At 42.7% G+C, this 20,463-nt stretch overlaps 2 long non-coding RNA genes across 3 annotated transcripts, besides 2 other annotated features; one reads left to right on the top strand and one right to left on the bottom strand.

Moving 5' to 3' along the window:
• The first annotated feature begins 2,953 nt into the window (after window positions 1–2,953).
• Window positions 2,954–6,867, top strand: LOC107984569 (uncharacterized). Its single transcript, XR_001749970.1, has 3 exons — window positions 2,954–2,981; window positions 3,327–3,362; window positions 6,746–6,867. It is a non-coding gene; the product is annotated as an uncharacterized LOC107984569 (long non-coding RNA).
• Window positions 6,868–13,153: 6,286 nt separating this feature from the next.
• Window positions 13,154–13,983, bottom strand: LOC105370171 (uncharacterized). 2 transcript variants are annotated; one of them, XR_941894.2, is made up of 2 exons: window positions 13,902–13,983; window positions 13,154–13,442 (listed from the first exon to the last, which is right to left on the bottom strand). It is a non-coding gene; the product is annotated as an uncharacterized LOC105370171 (long non-coding RNA). The 2 variants fall into 2 exon arrangements; XR_941895.2 differs by having other exon boundaries at window positions 13,732–13,942.
• Window positions 16,914–17,043: an enhancer, noted in NCBI's record as "active region_7601". NCBI's record gives its function as "activates an Ori minimal core promoter by ATAC-STARR-seq in GM12878 lymphoblastoid cells {active_cell/tissue: GM12878}" and the evidence as "EXISTENCE:reporter gene assay evidence [ECO:0000049][PMID:35858748]".
• Window positions 18,290–18,479: an enhancer, noted in NCBI's record as "active region_7600". NCBI's record gives its function as "activates an Ori minimal core promoter by ATAC-STARR-seq in GM12878 lymphoblastoid cells {active_cell/tissue: GM12878}" and the evidence as "EXISTENCE:reporter gene assay evidence [ECO:0000049][PMID:35858748]".

The raw sequence follows: 20,463 nt of genomic DNA, 5'->3' as shown, positions 1-20,463 counted from the left end.
TAGAACAGGTAACTTTCTTTAGGTGTATTTAGTCACAGCTGTACAACCAACTGCATAGTTACGTAATTGGTCAGACATACATGGGATATTTCGTTCCGCTCTAGAACTCATCCAGAAAGAACTATCAGGAGCGTAAAATGTCTGCAAAAAGTATTTTATGAAGAATAATTGAAGAATGTTTAGTTAGGAAAAGATAGTATTTCAAGATAGTTTTCAAAATTCAGGGTAGGACTACCTGTCTGTAAACATTAAAGACTATGGTGTGGGAAGCCAACTTATTCCACACTTCCTTCCTCTTTCTTCACTCCTTCCCCTTTTTCCCTCCTTCCTTCCTTCCTTCCTTCCTTCCTTCCTCCCCCGCTTCCCTACCTTCCTTCCTTCTTTCCCTCTTTCCTTCCTTCTCTCCTTCCTTCCTTCCTTTCTTCCTTCCCTGCCTCTTTACTTCCTTCTCTCCTTCCTTCCTTTCTTCCTTCCCTCCCTCCATCTCTCCTTCCCTCCTTCCATCCCTCCCTCCCTCCCTTCCTTCCTTCCTTACTGCAACAAACATGCAGAGACTGGTTGAGCTATGCTACTTCCTGTAAGTCATACACTTTGCTATTCCCCCAGGGCTCCAAACATGGATAATTTCATGAGGTTACATTCTAGTAGGGAGGTAAACATTTAAACAAACACCACTGAAAACAATAGTCATTGTGATTGAGGTGGACAAAAGGCTCGGTGAAGGTACAGTGAGACAGAGAGGGGGTCACGGGAGAGTGGATGCTAGGGCACAGCCATGAAGGATCAGTGGCACTTCACTACGTAGACCAAGGAGACAGTCTTTCAGGCAAAGTAACAATATTCATGAAAACATATGGGGTATGAATAACCACTGCACATTCCCGGAACTAACCATAACTGTTCCATAGGGCTGGCCTGGAACAGGCAATGAGAAGGGTGTTAGGAGGAGCACTGATGCATATATTTGGAGAGGTAAGCCAGAGCCTGATCATAGGGGAAAGGCTTCATCCTCTAATGTTATAGGGCTTCATTGCAGGGCTTTCCCAATTAAGTCTCGATTCAGCTTGGGTGAGGGACCATAAAGGGTGAGATTAGAGGCAGAGTGATCAGTTAGTGGCTAATGCGATAATCCAAGAAAGAGGCGACAAAATCCCTGGGACAAAGAGAAGGCAGCAGGCCCAAGAGGCTATTTTAGAAAGACAGACTCACTTGGGTTTGGTAATCCATTGAATGGAAACAAGAAGGCTGTGTAGGGCCTGGTTTTGAAGTGGTTGATTAGTGGTTCTATTAGTTAAGATGGGAAACATAAAAGAAGGAGCATTTTTAAGAGGAAGACAAGTTTGATTGGTATCATTATGACAATTGCTAGAGACACAGTATAGCTCGATGTAAGGAAGATCTTCGTAATATTTACATCTGTGCAGAAATGAGATCCCCAACCCATGTATTCAAACAGAGGCTTGTATAACCATCTATCAAGGTCACCGAAAAGGCAATTCCTGCATTGGGTGGGAAGCCAGAGTAAACAAACTTTAAAATCCCAACTTTAAGATTCAATGATGCTATAGTAGTAGAAAAAAAGGCTGTTTATTTCATACATTGTTGGTGTCTCCTGACAGATTTTAAATACCACTGTGACATATACCATGAAATGAAAACAAGTAGAAGAAGGGAGTGACAAATGCACACTTTGGATGTGTGTATTGATAGCTGTGTATTTCCTTTATATGCATTTTTACATGAGGCTGTTTATATACAGAACTGTAGTTGCTGTTTCACAAATCAACAGTCAGTATTTGACATACTTGTCAATGTCAGGGGCACTGACACAGCCAGCTCTACATGCTTGTGTGTAAATATGTGGTTATGTATGTGTAAATAAGAAGAAAAGGACCATGATTTGTAACTAAATGATTACTATTTTCCATTTAGTGCAATATCAATTCTATTACTGCAAAGCAGTCATTTATAAATCTTTTGCAAGGCAATGATGCTGAGGAGAGTTAAATATCAATCTAAGTATAACATCAGTATGTAAACAGATTGATGAATTGCTAGATTGCTAGGATATAAACCATATGGAACTGCAAATAACGCTCTAAGGAGCTGGGGATAATTTTAGCATTTCATGAAAGCCAAGGATGAAACGGAGCTATACTACCAGTTGATTAAACTTCCCAACGCTCTTCTGCTTTCGCTCTCGGGGCTATGTGGGACAGTTAGCATTGTGAACATTAAAAGTATAACTTGATAGATGGTTCCTCTCCTAATGCAGGATGAATGGGCCCTGTGGGGATAGTACTGAAAAATATTGTAGAGGTGGACTTGGGAGAGATTGGTACCTGAGGGCTGGCCCTGTGCAATGCTGCCTCAAATTTTGTGTGTATTTGATTAAAGCTCAAAAGCATTCAGCAGATCTTCCAAGGAGCCTGTGATGCAAGTAAAGGTTAAGAACCTGTTACTTTTTAAGTGGTAGGAATAAGGCTTGAATCCAGGTTTCCTGTCTCTCAATTTGGGGCTTTTTTAATGAAATCACACTAGCTTCACATACTAAATCCTGTGATGGCGTAATACATTTTATACCTTGCTATCATCAAGATTCTCTCTCTTTTCTGGGTTATGAAGGTAGATCCTTCTCCCTTTCCAGTTATATATGTAGCACCCCTACTAATGCTCAGGGTGGGTAGAATTAAGTTGTGGGGTCTTGGGGCTCTTATGATTTAAAGAATTTTCAGCTAAATCTATGCAGTCAGAGTGGAGCACAGAATTAAGCAATTTTCAGCTAAATTTGAGCACAAAAGGCAGCCAATGTGGAAAATTACTTAAGCCCTCTCTGAATCTGGCTTCTGCAAATCTGACCTGAATTATCAAAGAAGAAAGCATTTTCTATGGAGTGCTCAGAGGGGAACCACAGAGATTAGTAAAGAAGGCTCCCAGGAAAGGCTCTAAGGACTGCAATCATTTTGACAAGGAGGCCGTGGGTGAATATGCTAATGGCTGCCAAGTTTACACAACATTTTCACACAGAGAATTACGGCCTGCGGTCTCTGAGCACAAAGGGAGGTCAGGGTTAGCCTACAGCTTGTGGCCTTCATGTTAGCTCCTGGGGTCCTGTTGGCCTGACTGAGGCATGGCTACCATTTGGGTGATCAGGGAGTGTTTCTCTTCTGACTCTCAAAATGGCAAGCCAAGGACAGCTCAGGGAAAGGCTGGGGCTGCCACAGCCTAAGAGCAGAAGGGTCCCTGAGTGGGTGGCTGGGTTCTGGAGCAGCCAGGCTTAGAGCAACTCTGCACATCTCATCCCAAACTGCCCTCCTCTCTCTCAGCAGGGACTCCAGGAGGAAGACTGGAAAGTGACTGGGGTAAGGACCATCATTTTGCTGCATTTTCCTTTTTCTTTTTTTTTTTTTAACGGAGTCTCGCTCTGTCACCCAGTCTGGAGTACAGTGACGCGATCTCGGCTCACTGCAACCTCCGCCTCCCGGGTTCAAGGGATTCTCCTGCCTCAGCCTCCGGAGTAGCTGGGACTACAGGGGCAGCCACCATACCCGGCTAATTTTTTGCTGCATTTTCCATTCCATGCTGCTCGACTGTGGATTCTTTTCATAGTGGTTTTGCCTGTTTGTTTGTTTTTTTAATTTAAAAAAACAAGTTAAAGTGTTGTTATAGTTTTCCTTTGTGGACTATCCTAAGTGCCTCTTACCGTTGAATATAGTAATTTATTCTAACTTCATTAGGTATTTATCCCAGATTTGTCTCTTGAAACTTCCTGGCTGCCCTTCCAACATGCTTAACTCCATGTAGCGTAATAAGGTAGGACCACTCATCAGCACCTTGCTGGGACAGGCATGAATAGGACCCAAAGGAGATACAATTTCTTGAAGTGAGTATATTAAACAGGGGCAGAAAATGTATGCACACCTTTAGTAGTACCTGGTAGGACTTGGTGTAAGGTATATCTTATGAGGTTTTAGTGAAATAAAAAATTACAAACACCAACCTGGCCGACATGGTGTAACCCTGTCTCTACTAAAAATACAAAAATTAGCTGGGCGTGGTGGCAGGTGCCTGTAATCTCAGCTACTCGGTGGGCTGAGACAGGAGAATCGCTTGAATCCAGGAGGCAGAGGTTGCAGTGAGCCAAGATCGCACCACTGCACTCCAGCCTGGGCAACAAGATGAAACTCTGTCTAAAAAAAAAAAATTTAAACACAGATATATGAAAGAACAGACTTTGAGTTAGATAGATTGATTACTGTTCTATGAAAGAATGGATAATGAAAAGAAAATGGAGGAGGAACAGGAGGAGGAGGAGGAGGAAGAGTGGAAGACACCATTTTGAACCTAAAGACACTAAAACCCACCACCTTTCCCAAAGGAAGTTTCTGAGTTTCATTTGCTACCTAAATATTGGTATCATCTCTTCATCGCATGTGCCATAGTTAGAAGCAGTCACAGTGGTGTCAGCTGCCACCCTAGGTGTGTAACCTTTGGCAGAAAGAGAATGCATTTGCTCCTGCCTGACTCCCAGTGGCCAGTTAACTTAGATAAAGCCCTCCTCTCAGGGCCATCCCTCCACTGATGACCTCTGTGGCCGTCCGGATCTGCTTTCCTGCTCTGAGAACTTCCAGTTAAGCCCCCTTATCAACTGGGAAAACTTGACCTCTAGCACACAAAGCATGTTATGGAACAGGGGGAACGGAACTTTCTGACTTCAAAGTCAATTTGGCTTTGCTTACCTTTGAAATTGAGCATTTCTGTTTTGAAACTGTTTATGAGAAGTTCTCTGAGAACTGACCTGCAAACACAGATACCAAGAAATTCAGGGGCCAGAGTGTCCGACTAACTAGGATAAGGACAATTGAGTTGAATAATAATAAAATCTGGCACCTATCTCTTGAGCTTTTAAATTCTCCAACCGCAATTCTTCCTTGTCCTGGGCCTTTGGTCCAGGGAAAAGAGCACAGGCTTTTGAAATGTTTGTCATAAAGAAACAATTTCAGTCTCCACTTGCTGTTTACTCCCTTTGAGAACTTAGGTAGGCCGTTCCAGTCATGAAACTGAGCTTTGGTTCTAGCAAATGCAAAAAAGGAACAACATCTATTGCACAGCGCTTTTAAGAGGACTAGATGGAGTAATAAGGGGTTTCTAAGTGTTTACAAGTATTTTATTTTTTTCCAAACTTTAACGATAAAGAAACTAAAGTCCAGAAAGGTTAAGTAACTTGTCCAAGGTACAGGTAGCACATCTGGTAAATATCATATTCTAGAATTTAGGTCAGAATAGGTGGTCAAGAAATGCCTGTGAAAATCAGATTAACATCGTGTTACTATGACCTTACCTCCCTCAGAAATTTGCCTTTTGTGCTAAAAGAACCGTGGTGCTCCTTGATTTCTTCACAAACTGTTTTGGGTTCAATTTTCTTCTATAGGGCACTTTGGAGATACAAGGAAGAATGAATTCCTGTTGCATTTGTTCTGTGATCCTTGTAATACAAAAATTACAGCAGAATTAATCCAGAACTATAGATACAAATTCAGGAAAGCATCAGCAAATTTAGCCCTTAGAATAGGGTTTGCAAATAGTATGTGTTCAACAAATATATGTTGATTGGGTGATTAAAAGAGTTCACCAATAGTTTGGTGAATGGTCAGGAAGTCTTGGAAAAGAGACATTTCATATTGCACTAAGTGTCCTACTCTGGAGAAAAATAACCAAGCATAGAGTTATGACAGCAGAGCTGGAGTCAATAGGACACTACAAATCTAAGAACTACAAATCAAAATGGTATTTTGGCCAACAGAGCAGGTTCTAGACACTTGCCACAGCACCAGGTGATGTGTATTCCAACCAGAAGGTTGTTATAAGGCATCTCTTGAATTAAGTTTTTCTTATTACTTGGACATTATGTCATATTCTGATAAAATAAAGTCATGATAACTCTGCTTTCCAAATGTATTTTCTTTTCACCTTCAAAAGCACACCTCCATCTTTATACATTGCCTTTTTGATTTGATCCCCAGAACCATAAGAAATAAAAATGTCTGTGATCTTTAAGGGGTGGGGCTGGAGGCTCGTGCATCTTCCTTGCACCTAGCAAAGTTACTGACACATAATGAGTCCTTAATAAACAACAAATTATAGCTAACATGGAGTGTTTACCGTGTAGCAGACACCGCTCTGAGTACTCACATATATTGGCACATTTCTTTAAGGAGTTCAGCATAATTGTGATGGGTGTGCAAGATTGCCACTTGCTAGCAGAGTGACCCTGGGCAAGTTACTGAAGCACTTTGGCCTCAGTTTCATAATCTGTAATATGGGAGTAATAACTGAGATAATTTCATAGGGTTGTTGCACAGATCATCTGAGTTAATATCTATCATGCCTTTGGAACAGTGCTGCATACATGATTGCTCAGTAAGTACTGGCTTGTGTTTGTATTTATCCTAAGATCACCTCTCAAGTCATTGGGGGAAATCAAGATTTGAACTCAGACTGCCTGGCTCAAGACCCTGTGTCTCTAATCACTATTTATTTTGAATGAGTTACTAAATAAGTGAAGAAATAACCCAAAGTCATACGGTCAGATAGTGACAGAATCCAGATCTCCTGTCCCTCACCCCACAATTCTAACACTAGACCCCTACTGAGTTGCCACAAGTGCACAGATCCAGGTTGTCTGGGAGGGAGGCAGGAAGTTGCTGCTGTACACATGGGTCTCACACTCCTCCTTCCTCCTCAGATTACACCTCCTTCCCAGGCTGCGGAGGCTGGTGGTGCCAGTGCACGCAGGTAGAAGCCAACATCTTCTCCATGGGAGCAGATTAATGGTAAAGGACTGTACTCTTCAACTCATGCAGAGAAAAATGAATGGACTGAGCAGAACAATAATAATAAGTGACATTTGAAGAGCACTTTCCAGTTGACAAAGCCCTTTCACATCCATTGTCTCACTTGACCACTGGAGCAACCCTGTGATGTAGGTTATTATTTCCGGTTTTGAAGATGAGGCAACCTGAACACAAGGATGTCACGTGACTTGTCCACGTTTGCAGGGTGGGCAAACCCTGGAGCCCAGGCTTGCACTGGAATCCCCTGACTCCAGATCCCAAGTTCCTTCCTTAACAAAATATTTGACTCAGTACACTGAGAGAACTTTGCCCCTGGCCTCAGAAAAAGTAGCTCATGGTATCTCCCAGTGTAGAGTCTGATCTGCTTAGGAAAGTAAGTTTGAACCTTCCTGAAGGCAGAGGTATGGACGAGATGACCCAGACCTCATCTAAAGCCAGGCAGCTTTGTGATTCCCTTCCAGGATTTTATGAAAGAAATAAAATTATTCACTTGGAATGTTTGCTACCAGAAATGTCAGAGAAGCTGTAAAGGGCCATTTATTTGGGACCTTCTAACCATGTGTTATGGTAGAAAATTTGAGAGAAGGAACAGGCCATTAGGAAAATTATTTTATTCACTTCAACTATTATTGTCTTGTTCTGATAATATTCTATTTGAAAACTTGCATTCATAGCACTCTTTCACATAAAATCGTGTTCTCTGGGTCCTTCCCACCTCATCATGCTTCTTTCTCTCACATGTATAGAGATTGTTTTTCATTTTGAACCCAGTTGCTTCCTCTTTGATGCTGTAGAAAATCACCCTTCTGGGCGTGTGGCATAATGACTTCCATGGCAATGGGCTGAAGTTACAGACAAGCCATTACGTGAGCACGACAGGCTGAGCAGAGAGACCAGAGCCAGTTCTTTTAAAACTGCTGTCCTTGATAATAGCAGGACAGAGGTAGAAAATTACTGGCATTATAAATTGCTTTTTCGATAAAGGTTTTGACTCTGTCTTTTAAAAAGCTGTGCCACACGGGGAAAATCTCTCTGCATTTTTAATTGTAGATAATTTTGTGTAAGAAAAACCTCCCCATGAAAATGGTCTAATGAAATGTGCTTCGTTTGACTTTGGCAAAGCTCCATGTCATTCTAAACGAGTGCATAAAAACAGACACAAACAATATTTGCTATTACCTAAAAGTGTAAGAGATAATTTACATCAAAAGCAAAAGAGGAGATTGAGAATTGGAGAGTGGTCCCTAAAGCAGAGCTCCCACTTCTACACGCACGCATAAAAGAGCAGGAATAAAGGAAGTGTGGTGTACTGCCACCCAGCGGTGAGTCAGGGAAGACTGAGGACTACCATGACCCCTCAGTGTCCAGAGCCCAACCTAGGTAGACAAAAACCAGGGCAAAAAGAAACAAGGCCCCAGTCCTGCTAAAGGAGAAGACATGTTCTAAAGTTTATGCTTTACTCAAAGAATGCCATCTCAGAATCTTGTTAATGCTTATCTTAGGCATAATTCTAACATGCATAACTTTCAAACCCATCAGGAGATCGAAACCATCCTGGCCAACATGGTGAAAACCGGTCTCTACTAAAAATACAAAAATTAGCTGGGCATGGTGGCGCGTGCCTGTAGTCCCAGCTACCCAGGAGGCTGAGGCAGGAGAATCGCTTGAATCCGGGAGGCGGAGGCTGTAGTGAGCCAAGATCACACCACTGCAGTCCAGCCTGGGCAACAGAGTGAGACTCCATCTAAAAAAAAAAAAAAAAAAAAAAAAAAAGAAGAAGCAAGTAAATAGAATGGAAAGAGGAAAGGAAGGCCTATTGCATGTAGGCTTCTCTGTGTAAGCAGTACGGTGCATCCCGTAGAGGACAATGGTGGACTCCTTAGAGTCAAGTGTCTCTGTGCCTTTTACTAGCTGGGGAACTTGCTCAAGTCATATCACCTCATTGTACTTCATTTTCCTCATCTGAAAAATTAGCATGATAATTGTACTACCTACCTCATAGAACTGTTTTTGAGGATTAAAGAAGAAATTCGTAGAAATAGGGCAGTTCCTGATACTTAGTATGCATTCAGTGTCAGCCATGAGCATTTTAGAAATATAGAAGCTCAAATCCATTAAGGACTAAATCCTGGTTGTTATTTAAATTATTCATTTGTTCATTCAATTCACATTTATTAAGCACATATTATGAGCCAGGTAATGAATAGCCGCTGTGTAAATAAATATCAATAAGCGACTGCCCTTCCCATCTAGGAACTCAGACATGCAAGCAAAATTTACATCAATGGTGGGAAGTGCTGGAGGAGCATTTACGTGGGAACACAGACCCTATCCCTGGAGAGGTCAGGATGGCTTCCTAGGGGTGACGTTCAAGGGGGTGCATGGGAGGTGAGGAGGGGGAGTGCATTCCAGAGGAGGATGCAACATGTTTAAACAAAGGCTCAGATGGAGGGAGAGCTGGTGATTTTGCTCCTCAGGGTGTAAGGGGTTCTGAGAGGGGAGTTGAGGCTGAAGAGGCAGGCGGGGCCAGTGCTGGAAGGCCCTTGCCTGTGCAGCTAAATCCTTAGGTTTGCTCCACGGTGTTCAAACTTCTTCAGCATTACATATATTTTTCCCCAACAAAATCTCATGGAAAACTCCAGCATATGAAAAAAAAATAAAAGCAGCATTTTGTTAACAGACATTTAGTTTGTAAGTTCAAATTTATGACGGTTACAGAATGAATCAATAAGATCAATAAAGAAGTATTAATTAATACAACATTTTGGGCATATGTGTGACAAACCCAACTTCCATTTTATATATATGTATATATTTATATATATTTCTAATTATATACTATTGAGAATATTCTGATTCACTCTGAGAACTAGTTGCAAAAAGTAGTTTTTAAAAGAAAAAAAAAAAACTCAGTTTGCAATCTCTAAATGCCCTTAACTGTTCTGGAAGTTTAAAAGGGCAATAGTAAGACATTTTTACTTTAAATTTGAATTATCATCTATCAACGTCTTACATTTCTTATCATAAATAGAAAAGTCAGATGAGAAGCACCATAATCTTAAAACCATAACACATCATTATCGACGTGTGGCCTGGTTCCTGCCCACTTGTCATAGTCTGGCTGTTAGCTAGGATGAGACTGTGTACTGAGATATTACACCCAAGCCTTACCTGGCCTATGAGTGAGGAAAGCGTCTTAGTCTGTTTATGCTGCTGTGACAAAATACCTAAGACTGGGTAATTTTCACAGTTTTGGAGCCTTGGAAGTCCAATAAAGGTGCCAGTGGGCTCAGTGTCTGGTGAGGGCTCGGTCACTGCTTCTAAGATGGTGCCTTGTTACTGCGTCCTCTGGAGGGAAAAAATACTGTGTCCTCACATGGTGGAAGGTGAAAGGGTTAAAAACAAACAAACAAACAAACAAACAAACAACAAAAAAACCCTAGCTAGTTCCCTTCAGCACTTTTGTAAGATTGCTAATCTCATTCATGAGGTCTCTATACTCATGACTTAATCACCTCCGAAAAGCCCTACCTTTGAATATCATAACATTGGGGTTGAAGTTCCAACATGAGAGTTTTGGAGAAGACACAAACATTGAAAGCACAGCAGAAGGCCGTGCATGTGAGCTCTGGGGGCCAGAGAGTGCTTTACACTGAGCAGCCAGCATGAGGCAGGTTGGCAGGTTTCTCAACAAATGGCAGCAGATTTTTTTAAAAGGTTTATTATTGTTGTTATTATTACTATAGGTTCAAGTGAAAAAGTCAGTAGGTAGTTGGACATAAAATCATATGTGAGCTTTGATGGCTGACATCACATTTTATTCATTTCCCTGTGTCCATTGCCCAGCTCGGGGCCTGTTACCTGGCAGGTTCTCCATCAATGTTCGTTGAATGAACTGAAGTTTAGGAGAGAGTGTTGACCTCAGGAGCTGGAGCTGAGCATTTCCAGAGTGTGATGTTTAATATTGAGTGTCAACTTCATTGGATTGAAGGATGCAAAGTATTGATCCTGGGTGTGTCTGTGAGGGTGTTGCCAAAGGAGATTAACATTGGAGTCAGTGGGCTGGGAGAGGCAGACCCACCCTCAATCTGGGTGGGCACCATCTAAGCGGCTGCCAAAGTGGCTAGAATAAAGCAGGCAGGGGAAGATGGAATAGTAGACTTGCTGAGTCTTCCAGTCTTCTTCCTTCCTTCCTTCCCTCCTTCCCTCCCTCCCTCCCTCTGTCCCTTCTTTCTTTCTTTCTCTCTCTCTCTTTCTTCTTTCTTTCTTTCCTCTCTCTCTCTCTCTCTCTTTCTTTCTCTCTCTCTCTCTCTTTCTCTCTTTCTTTCTCCTTTCTTTCAACGGAGTTTTGCTCTTGTTGCCCAGGCTGAAGTGCAGGCTGAAGGTTTGATCTTGGCTCACTGCAACCTCTGCCTCCTGGGTTCAAGTGATTCTGCCTCGGCCTCCTGTGTAGCTGGGATTACAGGCACGCGCCACCATGCCCAGCTGATTTTTGTGTGTGTGTGTGTGTGTGTATTTTTAGTAGAGACAGGGTTTCACTATGTTGGCCAGGCTGGTCTCGAATTCCTGACCTTAGGTGATCCACCCACCTTGGCCTCCCAAAGTGCTGGGATTACAGGCATGAGCCACCACCCCTTGCCTAGTCTTCATCTTTCTCCCATATTGGATGCTTCTGCCCTTGAACATCAGACTCCAAGTTTTCAGCTGTTGGACTCCTAGACTTCCACCAGTGATTTGCCAGGGGCTCTCTGGCCTTCTGCCACAGTCTGAAGGCTACATTGTTGGCTTCACTACTTTTGAGGTTTTGGGATTCAGACTGGCTTCCTTGCTCCCCAGCTTGCAGACGGCCTATTATGGGACTTCACTTTGTGATCCTGTGAGTCAATACTCCTTAATGAACTCCTCTCTCTCTCTCTCTCTCTCTGTGTGTGTGTATATATATATATATATAATATATATATAAAATATATATATTGATATATATGATATATATATTATATATATATAAAATATATATATTGATATATATGATATATATATTATATATATGATATATATATAGGATATATATATATATAAAATATATATATATATATCCTATTAGTTCTGTCCCTCAGGAGAAACCTGACTAATACACATAGTGTGTGTATGGCAGCTGAAACCCTCCACAGCTGTTAATAAACTCCTGCATGGAGGGTGGATGGAGTGAGGGGAGAAGAAGGTCACAAACCTGCAGAACATCAACATAACTGAGGAACATGCAGGAAGTAAAGCTGGTAAAAGAGACCAAGAAAGCACCAGCTGAGTTTTACAGTCGGCCCTAGAGAGTTGACTATGGTCTGCCAGATTGCACTGTGGGGATTTCTTGCCCGCACTATATACACCTACTTGCTTTACCACTAGATTTAAACTACTTTTCATTTAGTTTAAAGGCCTATAAAAGAGAAAGAGTAAACAGTGGCCACACAATTAGGGATAACCTTTTTTCAAGAATGTGAATGTGCAGATATAAAGTCTATACTACTATTACAAAGTCATGTGTAGAAGATCATATTAGGCCAGAGCACCTTTGGTAGACTCGTCTATCCCTCATCTTCATTTAAGTTTTCATCTTAAAGTCTTATGCTAGTTCTGGGTAGTACAGCACACTTGCCTCCTTTGCTCCGTCAATACTGTAATGGTGACTCATCGCATCCCTTGGGAGAGCTCTCACTTGGAAAGGGTTGGTTTGACTCTAGAGGATTATTGGGTTGGCAACCAAATTGGTGTATATTGAGGCATTGGGCTCTCTTATGAGGCTGAATCATATGTCCTGATGGAAACTTTCCCCATCCTGGGAGTCATTAATGTGTCATAACCCATAATTTAAAAATTATTGGGTTTTTAGGACTTCCTTTCTTTCTCAGCCCACAGATTCTTATCCTCACACACAGAATAAACCTTCTGAATATAAATGAAGGGGAAATCCTCCCACCACCTCCTCCTGGAGCAATAATATGAGAACAGACACGGCCAGAAGCCATATCGTCTGAGCTCCTTAGGAGGACAGTAATTTTTACCCTGCTACGCTCTTGTGTCTGGCTGTCACTTATTGTCCTCAACATCCCAACACTTTTTGCTTCTTGGAATGCCCTGAGTGACCAGACAAAATAAAGTATTCTTCTCTGTCTAGTAACTCGATGACTCATGAACAGCCAGCCAGGAAGGGGGACCTCCAGGATGAAGTGACAGAGGTCGTGCTTCTCTCAGGGTGGAAGCCAACCTTGCCAGTGTTTTACAAGCAAAGCCTGATTCCCAGGTGCCTTCAACATGAAAGCATCTTTTTATTTCCACGTTGGCCTTTGGGGATTAGGAAATGGAAGTTGAGAGGGATGGGACCAAGTGTTTGCAAAGGTCTTTCAATTTCCTGTCTGAAAGTGAGCAGTGACCCCAGGTCTCAGTGGGCAGACAGTGAAGACGAGGGCAGGATGGCAGAGAAAAGGGTGCGTGAAGGCATAAGCACCTGAAATTTTCTCCATTTCCCCCTCCTGGGGTCCTTTTGTGCACCCACTGATACATTTAGATCTTGATGTCTATATTTAATTTTATCTGTGGAAAGAAGGGAAAATAGAGCTAGTTAGACATTTAAAGGCAGGCATCTGTGTTTCTTATTTACTTTCAGATAAGCAGAATACCCACATAATTTACTCTTGATAAAGACTACTGGGCTGCTTGTTTGCCAAAGACATGTGACTTTTAAACCACGAACAGTATGAGATGTCACCAGCACAAAACTCTGAATTCTGACTTGCCAGCTTTCACTCCAGTCCCTGATCCCTGCTCCTCCCACTCCACACAGTACTGTTTAAGCTCCTACTTCCAGGTGTCACCCAATCACCCTGTGCTTCCATCCATTCCTGCTGAAACATCTGCATGTCCATATGTTTGGCTCATAGTATCTGTCACACTTTGCTTTCTGCCAGCTCTTCTGTGCTCCCCACATGCCTGGGGACTCCCCTCCTCCTCTCCCCAGCCTGCAGAACCCCGTCTCCCTGCAGAGAGTTTTACATGGAAGAGGAGGGTCTCTGGGTGTGCACTGATAGAAGAACCCAACAGCCAGGCCCACGGGACGAGGACATCTGTCTCACTGCTCTGCTCCTTCCTGCCTGTGACCTCACAGAGGCCTCAATTGGATCAGGCAATTTGTATGGTCAGGATCAAATGCTGCCCAATTTAATTCAATTACTCTTCACCACAAGAGAAAATATGGTTATTATAATGACAGGACCTCTGTGAAGAATGCAGGCTCCCAGCCAGCGACCTGCCAGCACGTTGCCAAGCTGTGAGGAACAGCCACGGTGCAGATGATGCTGATTGGAAGGGATGGGGCAGAGCTGTGCCTGCTCCCGAGCACTCACACGAGTGACTGAATCCTTTGCCACAGTTGCCCAGGGGCACCTTTCCCACAAACCCACAGAGAAGTGGGCATAGCTGTGGCTGAAGCTCAGAGTGGAGCTGCCAGGTTGAGCTGTGACATGATAACTGAATTATTTACCAAATCCTGGGGAGAAGAGAAGAAGCAGAAGTAGTGACAGCAGCAAGCAGAGGAAAGGGAGCTATTTTCCAAGATTACCATTTTAAGAGAAATTTCTTACTTATGGTTCATAAGTCTCTATGACAAATTTGACAACTAAGAAGATAATGTCGACCTGGAATCTTTTCTTCAACTTCATCTTATCCTAACTGCTCGTTACCTCACCATATTTAATAATAATTGAAACCACCATTTACTCGGCATTTACTGTTGGCCAGCTGCTGTTTTCATGGATCCATTCCTGTTGGTCTCTCAAGAATCCTGTGAGCTAAGCGTCCTATTAACCCCATTTTAGAGATGAGAAAAATGAGGCTGCAGGAGACTGAGCAGCCTGCCCAGGGTCATATCGCTAGTAAGTGACAAGATAGGACTTAAGCCAACTGATCACAAAGCCCTTCTTCTTGACCTTTATGCCCTTGGCCTTATTTTCTCAAATTGCCTTTGCCTTTATAGATGTGTCCTCATGTCACTGAAGAGGGAGAAATGCTCCCCAATACTCTCAAGTACATTGGATACACAGAACCTGTGTCTACACGGAATCATATCATCATTTCTTAACCAGTATAGTGGCTGGACACATGGGGCTCTGGGTTCAAATCTCAGCTCTGCCACTTCCTAGCTGCACGGCTACTGTAGGTTACCTAATTCCCTGTGTTTCAGTTCCCTCATGTGCAAATGAGGAGACTATTTCCTCATGGGGTTGTGGAGAGGACTAACAGAATCAACACACTTAAAGCACTTAGAGTGGTACCTGGAAAAATTGTTCAAAAATTAGTGGCTATTATCCATTTTTATCACTTCCCTTCTGAAAGCAAATAATGCAAAAATAGGAGGTGAGAAGGTGAGGGATGTTTTCTTGGCATGCACCCAAGACACTTCCGGAGGTAGTCCAGGGCATATTTGCAGTGCCAATGATAGAGTTAAGCTGGGTGCCATGGTCAAGAGTAGTAATACTGACTACCAGCCTAGCACCCGTGAGGGTGGGGGAGGCTGTAGGAGATCTGAGCAACTCATAAGCAAAATCCTTCTAGGATCGAGTGAAGAGTTCCTTTAACTTTATCTCCTGTCCTAGGCTCTGCCTCTTTTCACTCAGGAGCACAACCAATGGCAGAGACTGGAGGACTGATACAAGACAAGGGGGCAGTACCCACTCCTCAGGCCACCTTGTTAACAGGCACTGGCTGGGCTGATCCACATTCCCTCAGGCCCACTTCCCCCTGCTAAGGAGGAAGAGGGAAGCTGTGACTCTTTTGTAGACCAACTACGAACACAGATAAGCAGGGGCCTCTTGGCCCAGTACTCGGTGTCCATTGACACAGAATGTCCTTCACCCATATCTCTGAGTTTGCCCACATGCTTCCTTTAGAAGCAGTTGGGTCTAGCAGCCTTTCAGGGAATTATGAAAACTCTAAAAACCCACAGGAATTTTCCCAAGCCCTTACCACACATCCCACACTTGCCTGGGTCATCATGGTGACTCTGTTGCAAAGCCAGGGTGAAGCGTCTTCAACCTGAAGACATGTAGTCCAAGTGAAGACATGTAGTCTGAGTGCTTTGAGTCATACTTACATTGTTAATGATCGTTCTTGGACTTGAATTTTATTTTAGGGCCAGGATCACTTTTTCTAGGTGTCATAAATCCAAGCTAATATGCATATCAGTATGTACCAAATAGTACCAGCTTTGGCATCCAGCTATATGGTACTTTTGATGCTAGGGATGGCAGAGCTCAGCATGGGGGAGCTGTTCTTCTCCATCAGAACCCATGTGAGGGCATGTTACTCTGACGTATGGGATGATGTTCACCATGGTCAGTGTCTGTTGTGATTGTTTACAAAGACTTAGTCCTTGTCCTTTGCTTTCAGATCCCAGTGGAGGGCGCAGCTCATTCTAACAGAAGCCAGCTTTTTTTGGGAAGTTTTGACTGAACTTTAGGGAGTTGTGATTCTGAGAATGGTGTTTTCATACAGTAAAGAGTAACCGGTTTGCTGTCCTAACTAGAAATGGTATTTTTTTTTTCTGTGAGATAGTAGCTCCAAGAAATGGGATGAGACTGAATAGAAAAGCAAAGACCTGGCTTCTCTTCTTTGTTCTACACTTTTGAGCAAGTCCTTTTGCCTCCCAGACTCAGTTTCCCCATTGCTGTGGATATTGACATCAATGATTCCTACAGCCCACCCTGTCTCTTGCAAATGAATTGAATTAGTCTTTAATGCCCCAAATGGTTCAGTGGTAAGCACTGTAAATCTAAGTTAAAATTGCTGGTATTACACAAGGGAAATAAATGTTTCCAGCTCCAGGAAGATCAGCAGCTCACAGCTGTAGCTGGAAATGAGGACATACAGGCTGACAAACTGTAGACACGACCATCTCTTGGGTCTTCCGAAGGGAACCTGGGGAGAAAATGGCAGCCCCATCAGGTAACTGCATCAGTGTACCCTGAAGAGATGCTACCTTGATTTCCACACCAGCTGAGCACCTGAATAATTATATTTGAAGCAGCACAGGGCATAGAACAGATTTACTTAGCATCTGGGGAGCCAATTGCACCCAGGCCTGCCCAAACTGGTCTTTCTCATTGCAGGGTGTGGGAGAACATAGGGCTTTGTGGGTCCCTGGGGACCTGCCAGGCCCAAGGCTGTTGCTCAGCTGTGGGAGGCACGCCAGTTCTCAGGTCTGCTAATGAGTGGTGTGGTGTCTGGCAAGGAACTTGCCTGGAGTGAGTGTGACTAACCATGAATCTTTTCAATAATGCTGACAATTCATTCTCTTTTCTCTCCTTTACCCGCTCTCTTTGCTGGAGCTGGCTGAAATAGGAGCAAATTAGTCTCATTCTGGAAAAGGCAGGGCATGATAAAGGACCCCCTAAAAGGTTTCCAGAGCTCCGTGCCTGAATGTTTTGCAGTCCGTGTAATTATCTGACTTGGGTGAGTCGACAGGGTATTTTTTTTGTTGTTATTTTCTACACTCAATAGCAGGTGGCATCTGAAGAAGTGCCTTGTTACTGTTCCACTGGACTATTGAACAAATTTACATTTGACACCAGCAAAGGTAGTGTCATTATTATTCTATGTGTGTTCCAACCCGAACTGATGACCCTCCATTTCCTGTTCAAAGGCTATGTTTCTTTCAAGGGAAAGATAATGTTTCCACCCCTACATGGAAATGTGGTAGACCTTAAATGCCCTGGACTTCTAACCGGGGGTGGGAGCTGAAGAGGGAATGAACCTTTCCTCTTCTCCCTGCTGCCACCCGTTTTGTTGTTTGATTAAGTGTTCTCTGAGTGTCTAACACCTGAGCTGAACCTTGCATTCTCTCACTGGGAAGGTGTGTACCTGTGTGCTGCTGCGTGTCTCTTGGGAAAGTTGGTCATGCCATCTGTTGGTTAGTGAGTTGGAAGGCTTTCAGGTTCTGCTAATATTGGATCGAAACTTTTAGAAAGGAATAGAAGTTGTCTAATGAATGTGGTGTCATCATCATGGGTTAGACCTCTGAGTATGACTCAAACACACTTTCTTAATAACAGAGGAAAAGCATTTAATATTTGAAATACATGAGCAAGTGAAAGAAAAAGAAATACACGGAGAGTTGGAAAGTTTCAAACAGTTTTAACGTTCCTTATTCTCTAAAATAAACATACTGTCTAGCTCAAACCTGCTTTCCACCTTTTCGTATTTAGGCTTGTTTCTTCTTTCTTTCTTGGCCTTGTGGGACTACTATTAACTTCTAAAGAGGTTCAAAATGGTAACTGGAGGTATCAAAGCTATCTTTTCCAGATTAAAACTTGGGACATGTGTTCCAGCATGTGTCAGAATATTTTCAGGAATGATACGTGAATGTATTTAAAATTAGAGTTTTCTCTGACTATTCTGAACATAGAACTCCTTTCATTTTCTGACTACCTTGTATTCAGAGGCATCATAGATTACAGTTTCATGTAGGAGTTGCAACTGATGGCCCAAGGTCGGATCTCGGTTTTAGTCATGTTTTGTATAATGTACAAAATGTGCTGTTGTGTAATGTACAAAATGTACTGTTTCAAAAACCAGGAAATTTCACATAAACATCTAGATTTCTAACTTCTAAAAATTCTAAAATCTGGCAACACTGACTACAGAGGCCCAGAATGGTAATGCTATTAGAACTAAATGGCTGCTGCCTGTTCACAGGATGCTTTGCCACGTGCCTCACCACTGTCTAGTGCCTCATATTTAGCCTTCCTCACCTCTTTCCATTGTGTGTCTGGCCTCTGTAAGCATTTGAATTTGTGTTTGTTGATTTTGTCATACAGTCCACTTGTGGTTGAGGCTTCTGGCTACTCATCATCAGAGAAGGGATATGGCTTCTTGACTTTGGTTGAGTCAGGTCCCATCTCAGAGAGCTGGTCCTTAGTACAAAGTTGGTCATAAGCTGACATCTTATACCTCAGTTATTGAAAACCCCAATACCTCTGATATGTTCCATTTTTGCTTCTTTGATTAGAGTAGATCTCATCATTAATGGGTAGTTTGGTTTATTCCTTGGTATTGTGAAATGAGAGACATAAACATCTTGTATGTATTGTTTGCTACATGCTTGTTCATTGCATTTGGAACCAATTTTGTAACCACAATAACCATTTATAGAAGAGTAGATGGCCGGGTCAGGGGGTGAGAATGGGAAATAAGACAACTATTTGGCTTCTAGAGAATAAATTGATTGATTATGATATATTGAATAAATTAGTAATTCTTTTTTTTTTTTTTTTTGAGACAGAGTTTTGCTCTTGTTACCCAGGCTGCAGTGCAATGGCACGATCTCGTCTCACTGCAACCTCTGTCTCCCAGGTTCCAGCAATTCTCCTGCCTCAGCCTCCTGAGTAGCTGGGATTACAGGCATGCGCCACCACACCCAGCTAATTTTGCACTTTTAGTAGAGATGGGGTTTCTCCATGTTGGTCAGGCTGGTCTTGAACTCCCGACCTCAGGTGATCCACCTGCCTTGGCCTCCCAAAGTGCTGGGATTACAGGCATGAGCAACCACGCCTGGCCAAATTAGTAATTCTTACAATGTTTCACACTTGTTCAGTAAGGGAAAAGCATTACATCTATGGAGCTTTTTGAATTCTTTGACGTTGTCTTAAACAATGCTTCATAACTTCTCTTTGTCTGAGAATATTAATAAACTGTCTCTGTCATTTTCTTATAAAAACCTATAGATATAACTTAAATTTTTAACAAAATTCTTTTGGAAAATGAAAAGGTGATTGACATGTACATTCAGGCAGGTAAACAAGTATTACTGAAAATTATGGTGTCATTTAAGAGCCTTGTCAGACAGTAGGTCAGCAGGAGTGGAACTTTATTCATTCATTCATTCAGCAGATATTTACTAAGCACCCCACTCCAAGTGGAACCACATGAAATTGGAAATATCTATAAAGACAGAAATCTCCTGTGGTTCAATCTGAAGCCTGCTAGGTGCTATGTTAGGCACTGTGGATACAAGGAGAATAACAGGGATAGTCATGCTAACAAACAGTGCGATGAAGAGTTCTAAGTGCTGTGACAGATGCATAGAGGAATCCAGTGAGGACCTGGAGAAGCAGGTGCCAATTCTACTTAGGGGATAGGATTGGCAAACAGCTTCAAAACAAAGGGGATGCTCAAAATGAATCCTTGAAGAAAATGCTAATGATATTAAAATATTCTTGCCTGTGGTGAAGGCAGAGTGGGTGTGGGCATGGGTGGGGATGGAGATCAGCATACAAGCCCAAGGGAACAGTGAATAGACATAAAGGCATGCCACAAAATTCCTGGAGTTGTGAGTGCTTTGGGCATGTGGCAGGGCTAGACAAGTGGGCTTGGGGCCACAGAGACCACCTTGGGAGCTCCTCATTATTGTGTTAGAGAAGAAAAGCCATTAATGCATTTCCAGCAGGGATGGGGGCATGGTGAAACTCGCCTCTCAGGAAGGTTATTCTCTTTTCAGTATGGGACAGAAGCCAAGATGTAGGCCAGGAGAACTGCATGTATCACTGATTTGACCGGAACAAGA

Source organism: Homo sapiens, chromosome 13, assembly GCF_000001405.40.
Source record: "Homo sapiens chromosome 13, GRCh38.p14 Primary Assembly".
Taxonomy (NCBI): Eukaryota; Metazoa; Chordata; class Mammalia; order Primates; family Hominidae; genus Homo; species Homo sapiens.
The sequence above is the reverse complement of the archived record's forward strand: the minus strand, read 5'-3'. Positions and strand labels throughout refer to the sequence as shown.